This window comes from Homo sapiens, chromosome 4, assembly GCF_000001405.40.
Source record: "Homo sapiens chromosome 4, GRCh38.p14 Primary Assembly".
Taxonomy (NCBI): Eukaryota; Metazoa; Chordata; class Mammalia; order Primates; family Hominidae; genus Homo; species Homo sapiens.
The window spans coordinates 151,228,664-151,245,629 of NC_000004.12; the positions used below are offsets into that span (position 1 = coordinate 151,228,664).

The 16,966-nt window shown below is 40.4% G+C and overlaps 1 protein-coding gene across 4 annotated transcripts in view; it reads right to left on the reverse strand.

Moving 5' to 3' along the window:
* The window catches only part of SH3D19 (SH3 domain containing 19), a 205,325-nt gene that overhangs the window by 108,383 nt on the left and 79,976 nt on the right, over positions 1–16,966 (reverse strand). The gene's annotated exons all lie outside the window — the stretch shown is intronic.

Here is a 16,966-nt window from a genome sequence, read left to right on the forward strand (position 1 = left end):
CAAATCACTGAGGGTGGATTCAGAATCTGCTTTCTTGCCAACAATAACAAAACATTTGGATGAAAGCCCAAGAATGAGAACAGATCTATAGCAAACATGGAAATTTAATCTTGGCTATATATAGTGCTTTAAGTGTATGGATTTTATTTTAAATCAAATACTCTTCAGCACATTCTCTGAATTTTTTCTTTTCTTTTTTTTTTTCTTTTGAGACAAGGTTTCGCTCTGTACTCCAGGCTGGAGTGCAGTGGTGCAATCACAGCTCACTGCAGCCTTGAGCTCCTGAGCTCAAGTGATCCTCCCATCTCAGCCTCCCAAGTAGTTGAAGTAGTTAGGATTACAGGCACATGCCACCACGCCTAGCTAATTAAATTTTTTTTTTTTTTTTTGTAGAGACAGGGTCTCCCTATTTTGTCCAGGCTGGTCTCAAACTTCGGGACTCAAGCGATCCTCCTGCCTTGGCCTCCCAAAGTGTTGGGATTGCAGGCATGAGCCACTGTGCTCAGCCTTCCAATTTTTTAGTTTCTAATTTTCAAATTAATTGGGGGAGAATATTTCTAAAGGTTTTCTGAACTTCTGCATATTTAGAAATCATATGAATAACTTTCTAGCCCAAAGTCTCATCATTTCTATGAAAAAAAGAGTTATTAAAAATAAAATGCCTTAACTCTAAAATTTGCCAAATGCTACACATTTGCTGTGGATGATATACTTATTCCAGGGGCCTGCCCAGCAGAGCATGATGGTTTAGGTCACTCAAAGACCAGCAGTATATACTCAGTGTGAGGGTAACCATGGCTGGGTAACCATGTAATGGTTTTATAGATATGTATCACACACACACATACACACACACACCCCGCTCTTCCATTCCCTGTCCCTCTCATCCATGCCTCATGGTTAATAAGGCTAACTGAGGAATAGAAAAGTACTCTGTAAGTAGAACAAAGACAGAAAACAAGGCAGAGGCTGGGTGCAGTGGTTCACACCTGTAATCCCAGTACTTTGGGAGGCCGAGGTGGGTGGATCACCTGAGGTCAGGAGTTTGGGACCAGCCTGGCCAACATGGCAAAACCGCATCTCTACCAAAAGTACAAAAAAATTAGCTGGACGTGGTGGTGCACGCCTGTAATCCCAGCTACTCTGCGGGCTGAGGTGGGAGGATCACTTGAGCTCGGGAGATGAAGGGTGCAGTGAGCCAAAATCACGCCACTGCATTCCAGCCTGGGTGACGGAGTGAAACTCTGTCTCAAAAACAAAAACAAAAACAAAAAACAAGGCAGAGCTGGCACAAAGACTATTGGTTGTGTGTGTATAAATGCTGTGGGGGAGATGTGAGGGATGCAATGGGGGAACCCATGGTATGTCAAGGGGACTGAAGAACAGTTAGGGGAGTGGTGGGATGCTATCATGGGTCAAGGATTCTGTGTAAGAACTCCAGATTATCCACATTTTCCTTTCATGTCAACTTGGTTCTATGTAATCTAGACATATGATTCCAATGTTTATGTATTTAGGTGTTACGCCACTTACGTAGAAATGGGCCCCTGTTCTGGCACAGACAGTTTTTGGGTACGGCTACGCAGATCCTACTGATGTGGAACCATTCAGGGTGATTCTGACTCTAATAATACTTTGAAATGGAGATGACAAAAATGCAAATGCCATCTTTGCTTTGATTAAAACTAAGAAGAATAGCCAACTCAGAACTTATTAGAATCTGTTGTAAGACATTCAGGCTTTGATGATTTAGCTTTGATCACTTAACAGGAGAGAAAAATCAAACCCCATTGGGTAGGGACTTACTTTACTGACTCAAGTTGGAAATGAAAGACCTGAAATCATTCTTTGAAATTAAGGGCAAGGCTCAGTCTACATGAATGAATATACACAGATATACTCACAATGGAGTAAGAAGTGGTTTAAAGTGAGTCTTTTTTTTTTTTTTTTTAATTGAGACAGAGTCTCACTCTGTCACCCAGGCTGGAGTGCAATCTCGGCTCACTGCAATCTCTGCCTCCCAGGTTCAAGTGATTCTTCTGCCTCAGCTGGGACTACAGGTGCATGCCACCATGCCCGGCTAATTTTTGTATTTTTAGTAGAGATGGGGTTTCACCATATTGGCCAGGCTGGTCTCGAACTCCTGACCTCATGATCCAGCCACCTCAGCCTCCCAAAGTGCTGGGATTATAGGTGTGAGCCACCATCCCCGGCCAAAGTGTCCATCTTATATCTCATCTTGGCATACCAAAATCTCTTTAGCAGATGCATTACCAATGAAGCGATTCTGTAGCATACTCCCAAGCATTACTGTTAAGTTCCAGCTTGGGAGTATATACGGTATATATTATTTTTAAAATATGGATGAACCCTATATAAACCCTTTGTGCCATTCAGAATTACCTAAAGGTTCCTTGGGGCTGAAAACAAATTATTTGCAGCAGCAATGTCATTACATCTTTACTTATGACAAGCAGAATAAATAAAACAATGAACTCATCCATTATAAGACATAAGATATCCAGTGTTCATACATCTTACTTTGGTGATTCTTTAAAAGATTGCATAATTGATTCCAAACAAATAGACCATGGATGGGATTTTACTTATCAGATATCAGAATTTCAAATAACTTTTCTAAAAACCTTAAATGGTTCCTATATTTAGAGAGAGAAAACTGCAAATATATATATATATTTCAAGTATATACTTCAAGCATATATATACATACACTTGAAAAGAAGGCAGTGCTCATTCTACAAAGTTACTGACACCAACTAATATGAATCCACCTCTGCTTTCTATTTGACAGCCTTGTTTAGGTGTGTCTCCAAACTGATTTTTATTTACATTTGAGATTCCCACAGTGATGGTCTATTGTTCTTTTAAATGATACCTTTTCAATAAATATATATTTGTTGTTGCTGAAATAACACATTAAGTCAGAAAATTCCTACTCTCTTGGTTAAAAAAGCCAAGAAATTAAAGAGGGTCTCTGTCAGTTACCACTGCAGGGGAGAAATAAGACATACTACAGAGAAGTTTACATGGCTGCTGCTGCCCATGCTTCCATGGGTAAGTGGGAAAGTCTGGTCTACAGCACTATCAATAGTGACATCGTTCATTAATTAAAGTGCCTAAATTCATTAAAATTCATTAAAATGCAGTACTCTAATTACCCAGGAAGGGAAGAATTGGAGATGGAAAGGAAGTTTCTTCAAACAAGAATTTATGTCTTGGCTGGCTGGGGTGGCTCATGCCTGTAATCCCAGCACTTTGGGAGGCTGAGGTGGGCGGATCACTTGAGGTCAGGAGTTCAAGACCAGACTGGCCAACATGGTGAAACCCTGTCTCTAGTAAAACTACAAAAATTAGCTGGACATGGTGGCGCACACCTGTAATCCCAGCTGCTCAGGATGCTGAGGCAGGAGAATCGCTTGAACCCGGGAGGCGGAGGTTGCAGTCAGCTGAGGTCACGCCACTGCACTCCAGCCTGGGGGATGGAGGAAGACTCTGTCTCAAAAAAGAATTTATGTTTCAACAAAGAAGCAGACTATCTCTGGAATGTTTTCTCCTTCCCATCCCCACTGTTTTTACCCTCATTTTAGGTTCTTATCAGCAATTGTCTGGACTCTTATGTCCTGACTGGATTTTCTGGCCCCAGTTTCTTCCCTCTAACCCAATCACATTGCTGGCCAAATAAATCTAGGCCTCAGAAAATTATAAATCACTTAGATCTTCAGAGGATTAAATGAGATAATGCCAGTGACATTCTTAGCACCCTGTCTGTACACTTAAGCATACCACAAATGTCAGCTGCCGTCATGTTGTTAAAAGGCCAGCTATTAACTAGTTGTAGCAAATGATACTGCATCATAGTGACTGTACAAGTCACTTAACCTCCCTAAGCCTCAGTTTTCTCATCTACAAAACAGGGGAAAATACTATCCTTATGGAGTTTTTATGAGGATAAATGAATTAAAGGGTATGAAAGGTTTAGTTCAATATCTAGACCATCAATTCTATGACTCTAATTCTGTGACTACCACTCTTAATATCTTTAATGCATGGCTCAAGAACCACCTTCTCCATGAAGCTGTCCCTGATTCCTCTCTCTCTTCAGCATCCTTGTATTCATTTCTTACTGCTGCTGTACCAAATTACCACAAACTTAGCAGCTTAAGACAACAAAAATGTATTATCTTAAAGTTCTAGAGGCCAGAAGTCAAAATGAGTATCCCCAGACCCATTAATGCGGGGGTCCCCAACCCCTCTGCCATGGACCAGTACCAGTCTATGGCCTGTTAGGAACTGGGCCACAGGGCAGGAAGCAAGCAAGAATTTCTGCCTGAGCTCTGCCTACTGTCAGATAAGCATCCACATTAGATCCTCATAGGAGCTTGAACCCTATTGTGAACCGCACATGGGAGGGATCTAGGCTTTGTGTTCCTTATGAGAATCTAATGTCTGATGATCTGTCACTGTCTCCCATCACCCCCAGATGGGACCATCTAGTTGCAGGAAAACCAGCTCAGGGCTCCCACTGATTCTACATTATGGTGAGTTGTATAATTATTATATATTATAATGTAATAATAATATAAATAAAGTACACGATAAATGTAATATGTTTGAATGATCCTGAAACCAGCCCTCTGCACCTGGTCCATGGAAAAATTGTCTTCCATGAGACCAGCCCCTGGTGCCAAAAAGGTTGGGGACCGCTGCATTAAGGTGTTTGCCAGGCTACATTCCCTTTCGATGCTCTAGGAGAGAATCCCTTTCCTTGCCTTTCGCAGCTTCCTGAGGTCACTTGCATTCCTTGGCTTGTCGTCCTTTCCTCCAATAGTGTAGCATTTAAAAATCTCTTTCTGACTGGTTTCCTCATCTACCTCCCTCTTCTACTTTAAAGGACTTTTATGATGACACTGGGTACACCAGGATAATCCAGAATAATCTCCCTATGTCAAGTTGACTCACAACCTTAATACTCCTTTGCCATGGAAATGTGACATATTTGCAGGTTCCAGGGATTACGATGTGGACATCTTTGTGCGGAGGGGGATAGCATCATTCTGCCTAACGCACCCTATCTGAACTCTCAGACTATCCGTCTATAGCACTCACTTCACACTAAGCATGACAGGGTGCACTGCTGTTTATAAGGTTTTGAGCATGTGTCTGTCCCCTTTATCTAAGCAGCGTCTGATGTAGGCAGGGTCTCTGTGTTAGACTCTGCTTCACAGTCAGTACTCTGTAATGTTTGTTCATAATGGTACTATCCAATGCCCTCCCATTTTCTTTTCTGCCCTGCATCCTTTATGCTGTAGTTGGTTCATGGATATATCTAATATTGCTGCAAAATGATGTGTCTTAAGAATTCCCATACTTTTTTTTGACTTTTTATAAATACAATAGTGATTTTGGTGTCAACTTTCTCCTAAAACAATTCACATTTGGTCTATTCTTCTGCTCAACATAGTCTTCTCCAAAACAAAAAACGCACAGGAAAAAACTACAGCACATTTGAACTGGAAGAGAAACCAGCTATTTGGTGACAGGCTGCTAATTCTTTTTAATAGTTCTTCTTCGAAATGGTTCAAATGAATCATTCTGATTGTTGAATTCAACTGACTATTGAATCAGGCTTTTAATGATTTGGGGTTCTTATGTTAGTTGTTTCAGAGATGAAATCAAAGCCACCATCTGTATTGCCCCTTTTCACTGCAGGGTGAATTTGGTAGAGACTTTAGGAAAATGAACATTTAATCAGTGTCACTTGGGTCCTGGGAAGTAAGGCAGGGAGGGGAGCGGCAAGGGAAGCTGGCTTAGAGAAAGGGGGTCATCAACCCTTCCTGCTGCTCCCTCCTTAAGCTCCCTAATGATTCTCTTGCCTTAATAGTTACTTTCATACCTCTTTTTGTTATAAAATATTTTTCAGCAAGCAAAATTTGTGATTTAAGGAGGTATAAAAAGACCTTTTAGTTCCCTGACTATCAAATGCAAAATATTGGGCCATTCCTAAAGGTTTTTCTTTCCTTTTTTGGTTTTTGTTTTCTTTCCAAGTTTGTGTTTTTTTTTTTTTTTTTTTTTTTTTTTTTTTAGACAGGGGCTCACTCCGTCACTCAGGCTGGAGTGCAGTGGTGCAATCTTGGCTCACTGCAGCCTCGACCTCCTGGGCTCAGGAGATCCCACCTCGCCTCCCCAGTAGCTGGGACTACAGGTATGTGCCATCACACCCGGGTAATTAAAAAAACTTTTTTTCTTGTAGACATGGAATCTCACTTTGTTGCCCAGGCTGGTCTCGAACTCCTGGGCTCAAGTGATCCTCCTACCTCAGCCTCCCAAACTGCTGGGATTACAGGCATGAGCCATCACACCCAGCCTCCAACTTTTATTTTAGGTTCAGGGGTGCATGCGCAGGTTTGTTACATGTTTCAAAGGGGTTTGGTGTACAGATTACTTTGTCACCCAGGTAATGAGCACAGCACCCAACAGGTCATTTTTCAATCCTCCCCCTCCTCCCGCCCTCCACCCTCCAGTAGGACCTAGTGTCCATTGTTCCTTCTCTGTGTCCATGCGTACTCAATGTTTAACTCTCACCTTTAAGTGAGAACATGTGGTATTTGGTTTTCTGTGGGTTTTTAATAAAGGTCATAAATTTAACCTGGAATAAGATATGCTATAAGCAAGGCAATCTGAGAAAGTGACCTAATAACAGATTGCTTTCAGTGTTTCCCAAATTACAATAACCTCTCAAAATCCTGCAATTAAAAAAATTTATTTAACTTTGTTTAACACATTCTCCTAACTAATCTGAGGATAAAACATTTCTTACAGGCCAGGTGCAGTGGCTCACACCTGTAATCCCAGCAGTTTGGGAGGCCAAGGGAGGTGAATCACATGAGGCCAGGAATTCAAGACCCAGCCTGGCCAACATGGTGAAAACCTGTCTGTACTAAAAATACAAAAATTAGCTGGGTGTGGTGGTGCACATCTGTAATCTCAGCTACCTGGGAGGCTGAGGCATGAGAATTGCTTGAACCAGGGAGGTGGAGGTTGCAGTGAGCTGAGATTGCGCCACTGCACTCCAGCCTGGGTGAAAGAGCAAGACTCTGTCTCAAAAAAAAATTTTTTTTCTTACAAAATCAATTTGGATCAGACTTGGTATCTGGTACCTAAGCAAAGACAATGTTATCTCATTATCACCATCCACTCTCCCAGGAAACCAAAGTCCCTTATACAGAGCTTAGTCTTAGTCATCTCCGTGTCCAGCACCAGGCCTGACCCATAGCTACCACTTCTCAAATGAACTGAACTCCAACTGCTATAGGGCCAGGCACAGGCTCCAAGTGCCAAAGCCAGTGGGACGCAATGATAAATCAGTCTCCCCTCCAATCCAATCAGGTTGAGAGATGACAACGTGCTAGCAGCCCTCGTTCACTCTTGGTGCCTCCTCGGCCTCGGCGTCCGCTCTGGCCGCGCTGGAGGAGCCCTTCAGCCTGCCGCTGCGCTGTGGGGGCCCCTCTCTGGGGCTGGCCGAGGCCAGAGCCGGCTCCCTCAGCTCGTGGAGAGGTGCAAGCGGGAGCCGGGGCTGCGCCCGGGGCTTGCGGGCTGGCGGGGGTTCCAGGTGTGCGTGGGTTCCGCGGGCCCCGCACTTGGCACAGCTGGCTGGCACCTGCTGGGCTTGATTGGGGGATGAGCTCCCTCTGGGCTGCCGGAGTGCCCGGGCTAGGTGCTGCAAAGTCCCACCGCGAGGGCCATTGAGAGGTGAAGCCAGCTGGGCTTCTGGGTCGGGTGGGGACTTGGAGAACTTTTCTGTCTAGCTAAAGGATTGTAAATGCACCAATCAGCACTCTGTGTCTAGCTAAAGGATTGTAAACGCACCAATCAGCACTCTGCGTCTAGCTAAAGGGTTGTAAATGCACCAATCAGCGCTCTGTGTCTAGCTAATCTGGTGGGGACTTGGAGAACTTTTGTGTCTAGCTAAAGGATTGTAAATGCACCAATCAGCACTCTGTGTCTAGCTAAAGGTTTTGTAAATGTACCAATCAGCTCTCTGTGTCTAGCTAATCAGGTGGGGACTTGGAGAACTTTTGTGTCTAGCTAAAGGATTGTAAATGGCCAATCGGCACTCTGTGTCTAGCTAAAGGTTTGTAAATGCACCAATCAACAATCTGTCAAAATGGACCAATCAGCTGTCTGTAAAACGGACTAATCAGCTCTCTGTAAAATGGACCAATCAGCTCTCTGTAAAATGGACCAATCAGCAGCATGTGGGTGGGGCCAGATAAGGGAATAAAAGCAGGCCACCCAAGCCAGCAGCAGCAACATGCTGAAGTCCCCTTCCATACTGTGGAAGCTTTGTTCTTTCACTCTTCACGATAAACCTTGCTGCTGCTCACCCTTTGGGTCTGTGTTGCCTTTATGAGCTGTAACATGCACCGCGAAAGTCTGCAGCTTCACTCCTGAAGCCAGCGAGACCACGAACCCAGCGGAAGGAATGAACAACTCTGGACACGCCGCCTTTAAGAGCTGTAACACTCACCGCGAGGGTCTGTGGCTTCATTCTTGAAGTCAGCAAGACCAAGAACCCGCCAATTTCGGACATAAGGTCACAAACCTTTTAAGATCTTTTAAGATTATATTTTTTCTTTAATTCTATCACTTATATATCTTTGATTTTGCATTGCTTAGGTTAATTTGTACATCTCAGAATAACAGCTTACATAAAGAAGGTCAGCACCAATTGCTTACCATCTCCAGGTGTCTACTACTGGGGTGTGCCTGCAGTGGAAAATCAATAAATATTTCAGTATGACAATCTAGGTAGATGTTAAAAGCAGGAACTCTAGGTCAGACAGGCCTTGTTTTGAGTTCTTCACTACTTATTACCTGAAGGACCACAACAAACTGACGTCTCTAAGCTTCAGTGTCCACATCTGTAAAATGGGGAATAATAGCAATACTCATCTCATCAAACAGAATGAGGATTAAATGAATAAAGGTACACAAAGGGTAGTATATTTGCTATGAGTAAGTGCTCAATAAACATCTACTATTATGATAATAGTATCAGGAATACAGAATATTTAGCAAGTTCATAATATTGTGGGCAGAATTACCTAAAGGGTAATTATCCTTTGTCGAACAGGGATTTCTTAATCTGCAGGATTTTTCTTTTTTATTACTGGTCAAGAGGACAGCAATGTACTAATAAATAATTTCTAAACCTTCCCTTATTCAACGGTTCAGCCTATTTTTCCTTTTCTTTCTCTTCCCAGCCCTTCTGAACCAGGGGCTATAATGAAAATTAATAAATCTGATTTTCATTTTCCCACTGTAGCCTCTGGCAGAAGTAATAAATAAGCCCTAAAAGTAAGCAGAAGAGGGAGAAAGAGAGCTAAAAGGCAGACAGATAAACTGTGCCAACCAGGGATCACCATCCCTTCCATTCTCCCTAATGTCTTCCCTCATTCCTAGTTCATCATGTGGGTTTTAGTCCTCACTGTCATTTTCTAAGACTTAAGAGAAGAGTCCCCAAATGAATTTTCTGAGTAGGATGAAAGAGTGGCATAAAGAAAGGAACTAGATAGATTAAATGTAAATTTTTTTATCTATTTATGAAATTACTGGAATCTCCCATATTTCAGGATAGTATGGAATTCTTAGACAAGAATACAGAAAACAAAAATTAAAATTATGATTTCAGGTGCCAAAGGACGGATAACATCTCTACACATTGGTTTTCAGCTGTTAAGGGTAAAAATAAAGATTTTATTTTCTTTAAAGGGCAAAAGGCCCACTTTTTATTGTCTTCTCTTCCATTAGTTTTGTTTGTGCCACAGAACTCATAAAGTTATACCTTTGTGTAGCTGACCCTGCAAAATGAACAAATATCAGAAACTGCTGTAACCAAAAGACTCCTTCACGGGCTCCAAAGACCAGGCACCTCCCTCTGGTATAAGAACACTCAGCTCTGGCAACATTTTCTGCTTGGATGAGGATTCTTCCGATCTGTGACTTCTAACTGAGATTTTTATCCACAGTGGGGCAGTCTTGGTCTCTAATGTAGAATTATCACTCTACATTAGAGTGAAAAAAAAATCTTTTTCTTCCAATCAAGAAGAGGTAAAGCCACAGCCAGGCCTTGACAAACTACCTGAGGATAGGGAATGTATTCTCTGTACAACACAACGTCTGTTGCAAATTCAAGCCCACCCCTGTCCTTCCTCTCCACTTCATTAACTTCCATCCAGACAACACTTTCAAAATGATACAGAAATACAAACAAAGAGAATGTTCAATTGTTTCATTCTATTACTCACTGTGTAGAATGCTTCTAAAGTAAGTGCCCAATTCTGATTTTTCACAGTTCTAAAGATTCACAGAATTCTTGAGTGAGAAGAGACACCTGGAGACATCTGTCACCTTTACTTTGAAGCCTTATTTGATCTTCCACAGGCAGAAATAATGCCCTCCACCTCGACATCTATATATTCAGTGCTTAGCACCTATGGGCACTTACCACATTTTGACTCACATTATAATCCTCTTTATGTCTTATTGCTTCCACTACGATAAGGTTCTTTAAGACAGAGCCTTTATATCCCTTGAAATGCCTGGCAGAGCACCTTACACAAAATAGGTACAACATAAGTGTCTGTTGTCGAATATACTGGTATGAGTCCTCTCCACACCTCTGCAAGCTGGAGATCAGCTGAGCTAAAAAGCCTCTGTGTTGTTTTTGTTTTTTTTTAGGGGTGGATGCTATTAATTCATAGAGAAGAAGTATTGTGCTTACCACAAGGCTTCAAAAATTTTTTATTTGGAAAGAATGCATTTTGAAGTGCTACTTCAGAATTGCAGAATTACTAAAAACATAATATTCATGTAATGAAAAATGTACTGTTTTGGGAGGGGTGGGAAGCAATGCAATTACGACGACGAAGCATAGGAAGCTACACAAAGGATTCCCTTCTGTGGAACAGACATAGATAAATGTAATCTAAAAAATATGTTGACAGAATTTTAAAGAACACAAGTCAAAAACACAGAGATAGAAGACATAAAAATTAAGAGCCAAGAAAAACAGATTCAAGAGGTCCATATCATTCATTCTTTTATACTTCTCCTGAAATGCTAATTCAGCATAAAATTAGATAATAGAGCTAATAGAGGGGGTAACATGTTCAAAGGTATGGCAGCTGAAAAGTTATAAATATGAAATAAGGTACCCTGAGACTTTAGTGGATAAATGACCAGGAGGAGATTTATCTGTAGAACACGCTCTAAAATTCTGCTATGGAAAAAACTCTTGGGTCAGGTGCCATTGTTCACACTGTAATCCCAGTGCTTTGGGAAGCTGAGGCAGGAGGATTGCTTGAGGCTAGGAGTTTGCAACTAGCTTGGGCAACATACGGAGATCCTATCGCTACCAAAAGAAATTTTTTTTAATTAGCTGGGCACAATGTTATGGGCCTGTAGTCCCAGCTACTTGGGAGGCTGAGGTGGAAGGATCATTTGAATCCAGGAGTTTGAGACCAGCTTGGGTAAGATGGCGAGATCTGGTCTTTACAAAAAATAAAAATTAAAATATTAGCCAGGAACAGTGGCACGAGCCTGTAGTCCCAGCTACTTGGGAGGCTGAGGCAGGAGGATCCCTTAAACCCAGGAATTCAAGGCTGCAGTGAGCTATGATTGCACTACTGCACTCCAGCCTGAGCGACAAAGCAAGAACATGTCTCTTAAAAAAAAAAAAAGTCAAGGGAAGTTCTCTTCACTACGTGTTTCATAAGCAGAAGGTACTGCACATGAGGCTTAATTTCTCAGTCTCACCATTGACCAGATGTCACCAAAGCATGAGCAATATAATTTGTATATATTTAATTTTAAGAAGTTACTAAGAATACACAATAAGATACCACTTCACACCCACTAGGATGGGTATAATGAAAAAGACAGATTAATATTAATAACAAATGTTGGCAAAGATGTTGAGAAATCAGAATCCTCATACGCTGCTGGTAGGAATGTAAAATGGTACAGTTGCTTTGGAAAACAGTCCAGCAATTATCAGAAGGTTAAACATGGAATTATTATACGACTCAGAAATTCTACTCAGGTTTATATCAAAGAGAAATACAAACATGTCTACACAAAATCCTGTACACAAATATTCATAGTAGCATTATTTGTAATAGCCAAAAAGTGAAACAACTCCAAAATCCATCAACCGGTGATGGATAAAATGTGGTACAGCCATACAATGGAATGTAATTTAGCAAGAAAAAGGAACGAAGTACTGGTCCATGCCACACATGATAACTCTTGAAAACATTAAGTAAAAGAAGCCAGCCAGGTGTAATCCCAACACTTTGGGAGGCTGAAGTGGGAGGATTGCCTTAGCCCAGGAGTTTGAGACCAGCCTGGGTAAGGTGGTGAAACGTGATCTCTACAAAAAAAAAAAAATTAAAAAACTAGCCAGCCGTGGTGGCACATGCCTGTAGTCCCAGCTACTTGGGAGGCTGAGGCAGGAGGATTCCTTGAGCCCAGGAATTCAAGGCAGCAGTGAGCTATGATTGTGCCACTGCACTCCAGCCTGGGTTACAAAGCGAGGCCCTATCTTTATAAATAAATACGTAAATAAATAAGTAAGCAAGCAAGCTAGTCACAAGAGACCACATGTCACATAATTTCATTTATATGAAATGTCTAGAATAAATAGGTCTATTTATAAAGACAGAAAGTATTATAAATTAGTGGTTGTCTAGAGTTGAAGGAGTGAAGGCTAAAACGTTCGGGTTTCTTTATGGATTATGAAAATGTTCTAAAATTGATTATAGTGATGACTGCACAACTCTGTGAATACACTAAAAACCACTTTATTTATTTATTTATTTATCTAATTTATTTATTTAAGACAGGGACTATGTTGCCCAGGCTGGTCTTGAACTCCTGGGCTCAAGTGATCCGCCCAACTTGGCCTCCCAAAGTGTTAGGATTACAGGTGCAAGCCACTGTGCCCAGCTAAATTGTACACTTTAAATGGGTGAACTCTATGGTATATGAATTATATCTAATAAAGCTGTTACCAAAAAAAGAATAACCCTGATTAAATGAGTGAATGGTTGAGCTGTTCATTTTAATACTTATAGAAGTATAAGACTATATGAATGAGAACTCTTAAGTATGTTTTCAATGGATACAATTTGGTATGATATTAAAAATTTTAAAGTTCATATTTTGGCCAGTGTCCGTGGCTCATGCCTGTAATCCCAGCATTTTGGGAGGCTGCGGTGTGAGGATTGCTTGAACCCAGGAGTTTGAGACCAGCCTGGGCAACAAATGAGACCCTGTCTCTACAAAAAACAAAAAATTTGGCAGGCATGGTGGTGCAAGCCTGCAGTCTCAGCAACTCAAGAGGCTGAGGCAGGAGAATTGCTTGAGCTTGGGAGGTCAAGGCTCCAGTGGAGCATACCACTGCACTCCAGCCTGGGCAACAGAGTGAGACCCTGTCTCAAAACAAAAAAAAAAGGTTTGTATTTTCAGTTAACAACATTCTAGAAGTGGATTTCTGGTTCTTTATGAAAATGACTTACAAATTTCATATACTGGCTTGGCCAACAAGATCTATGCCAAACTGAAAAGTAATGGTAATAATTAGACCTGTGTTTATTGACTTCCATTCTGTGGGCCATATGCATCAACTCTAATCCTCACTGTCCTACAATGAGTCCTATTTTAGAATGTGGAAACTGAAGTTCTTAGGGGATAAATAACATGCGCAGAGTCACAAAACCAGCAAAGGGCAGAGCTGAGACTGGAACCTGGCTCAGCCTGACTGCAGTCCCATGATCCAGGTGGCTTTTCAGGCAACACATTCCTGACATATCTTTAAAAAACAGGTAGCGAAAGAAAGTAAAAGCATCACATTTTTATTAATAAGTAGGAGTTTTGCTTGTAAAAAGGAAAAACTGAAATGGAATGAAAAGGAGAAAGTATATTTAGAAGCACAGCTTTTATATGACTTTATATAATTCTTTATACCCTTGGGTGACAGTTGATTAGGAAATTAATGATAATATTCTAAGACATAAAGCATCTGGTTATGAGAGCTTCACTAATAGAGGGGTTATATTTAACAAGGGATATAAGATTCTAAACCTCTAAATATGATACATGGGAAATAAAAAAGATAAATGATCTTTCAATAAAAACCTGTAAGAAAATCTCCCAGATATACATAGGAAGCTGAACATAGATTTGGCATTGATAGTACAACCAAGCTGTATGAATCAAGAGGGAAAAGAGAATATGCAGAAGAAATTTCCCAATAACAACTCCAGGTGACAGGTGCACTGATAATTCTATGAGGTAATTAATTCTATTAGAAAAATTGCAAAAAGATTTACAGAGAAGAGAACATTCCCAAACTTTTCTTCCATTTCCCTAGAAACAAATAGCACAATAAAAAAGAAAGACCTATCCCTGGTTATCTGTCCTCAGTCTTTATGATGCTAATCAGCTTGGAGCAAATAGAGCTGCAATAAAGAATCTGTATACTTCCTAAGTAATCTGTGTCCAACTATTTGTAAGAAAAATCATTTAATATCTAAATTGAGAGTACTCTGTTATGAGCAATAAAAAGTATAATAAACAACAAATGAAAATTTAAGCCTTTATACTATAAAATGAAAAAGAAATGTCACTTGCTTTCTATTTCCCTCTGTAAATACCATTAAGATGTGGTAGTGAAATTGTATAAGTTGTTGGCATGGGCCCTCAAAACAAAATGAGAGGGAATGTAAGTGATCCCTGTCTCTTACATGTCAGGATGTCACTGACAATATGGAAGTTCTTAGCTGTTTTAAGTGTTTATATTATGTTGCCTAGTGGCAGAAATTAAGTCCTATATGGACAAGAGATTAAGCAAGATAATGGGTATGAGGGTCCTTCATAACACAAATGGCTAATTATTAGTGCTATTATTTTGAAAACTGAAACAGACCATGAGACACTAGATCTGTATCATATGTCTCCAGGGCTATACCGTAAGTCAAAGCATTACAACTGTTGGGAGAAAAGCTGGACATTCCAAAAAAACTACTTATTTTTGAGTATTGAGGAAAATTGCTATTCTTGGATATAAGCTCAGAGAAGACTGAGTACTGCAGTTTGAGAATTGCTGCTAAAAAGGAGACAAACCATCAACAGAGATTTTCAAACTCTTGCTAGACCAAGAACTGAACAAGGAGTACATCTCCAAATATCATGCCTTCTTCAAAGAGTAAAAAATTCCGTGGACCTTGAAGACTCACTGTGGAATTTCCAGAGCCTTATGTACATTTGTTCAAAGCATTATCAGGTGTTGATTGGAAGGGAGGCTGAGTTATTTCTGTGACTTGATCAAACAGTTGGCTATTAGCCCCTGAATTTAATAACTAGGGAATAAAAGTTTATTTGACCCTTAAGAGTCTATAGTAAACAAGACACAGACATCTTACTGTAATACCACAGAATCTTCCCACATCTCAAACAACAACAACAACAACAACAACAACAAATACACAAAAAAACCCAACCCTGCTTAAGGGTTTTTGGTTTTGTTTTGTTTTGTTTGGTTCAAAGATATCTTAGTATATGAATTTGGAGAACAAGCCTTTAGATTTTAGAGAAATTGTTCAAATGTTGATAGGGCATAGAAGGAAAGCTTAACATTCAATTTAACCCAAGGAAAAGAGAATCTGCAACGAAGTCGGGAAAGGAAGATTCTAATACTTGCTTCTAAGTTGTTTCTTTTTACACCCGAGGATCACAAAAGAATGACTTCTTCTCAGAATTATCTTGTAAATAAAAACAAACAATAAAGATTATTCGAACTGAGATTTAAATGTAAATCCAGGTCTATTTTGAAAGGGCCTGACCAAATCATGTTATAGTCAGAGACCACAGTGTGTACAGTCAAGTGAAATGTACATTCTGAGAGAGCCTAAGGTGCCAGTGTACCTCAGAAGTGTGGTAGTCTTTTGTGTCAACAATTTAAAACAGTTAATCTGTACATAAAACATGTTTCCAATATTGAATTGAAATGTTAACCAAGTGTCACTGGGTGTAGCTATCTCTAAAACATAGCCATAGCAAAAATGACAGGTAAACAGATTTCTCTGTTGTAGAGAATTCAAATATACATAAAAATAATTGGGTGCAGTGGCTCACGCCTGTAATCCCAGCACTTTGGGAGGCCGAGGCGGGCAGATCACGAGGTCAGGAGATAAGAGACCATCCTGGCTAACACGGTGAAATCTCGTATCTACTAAAAATACAAAAAATTAGCCGGGTGTGGTGGCACACACCTGTAGTCCCAGCTATTCGGGAGGCTGAAGCAGGAAAATCATTTGAACCCAGGAAGCGAAGGTTGCAGTGAGCCGAGATCACGCCACTACACTCCAGCCTGGGCAACAGAGCAAAACTCCATCTCAAAAAAATAAAATAAAATAAAATAATAATAATAATAATTAAGTTGCTTAGGAGCTTTATCACTACTGACCTTTCTGAGTTAAAGCCTTTAAAAATCACTAATATATTAATTTGTTCAAGTCTTAATTAAGTAGTGTAACTAACTACTGAGTTCCCTGATTCAGTTCCTTGTTAATTTTTTTTTTAGGGGAAAAAGTGAGGAGACACTGTCTGGCAAGATTTACACATCAATGCTTGATTAAGGAAAAGGGACTCCTCCCTTAGCAGCGTGAAGCCTGGATAGAGATGGGTTCTTTCTACTTTCCAGACTTTAATGGCAACTGTGCCCAGAGTTTCTAGATATTCCTCATACCTGTTCCCTGTAAAAGACCATAAACATTCCTGGTTTACTGTAGCTGAAAAGTCATCTAAATTCAAATTTATTGGATGGCTTTGCATTGGTCCAGTGTGGTCTTCTGAGTCTTTTGTTTGTTTGTTTGAGATGGAG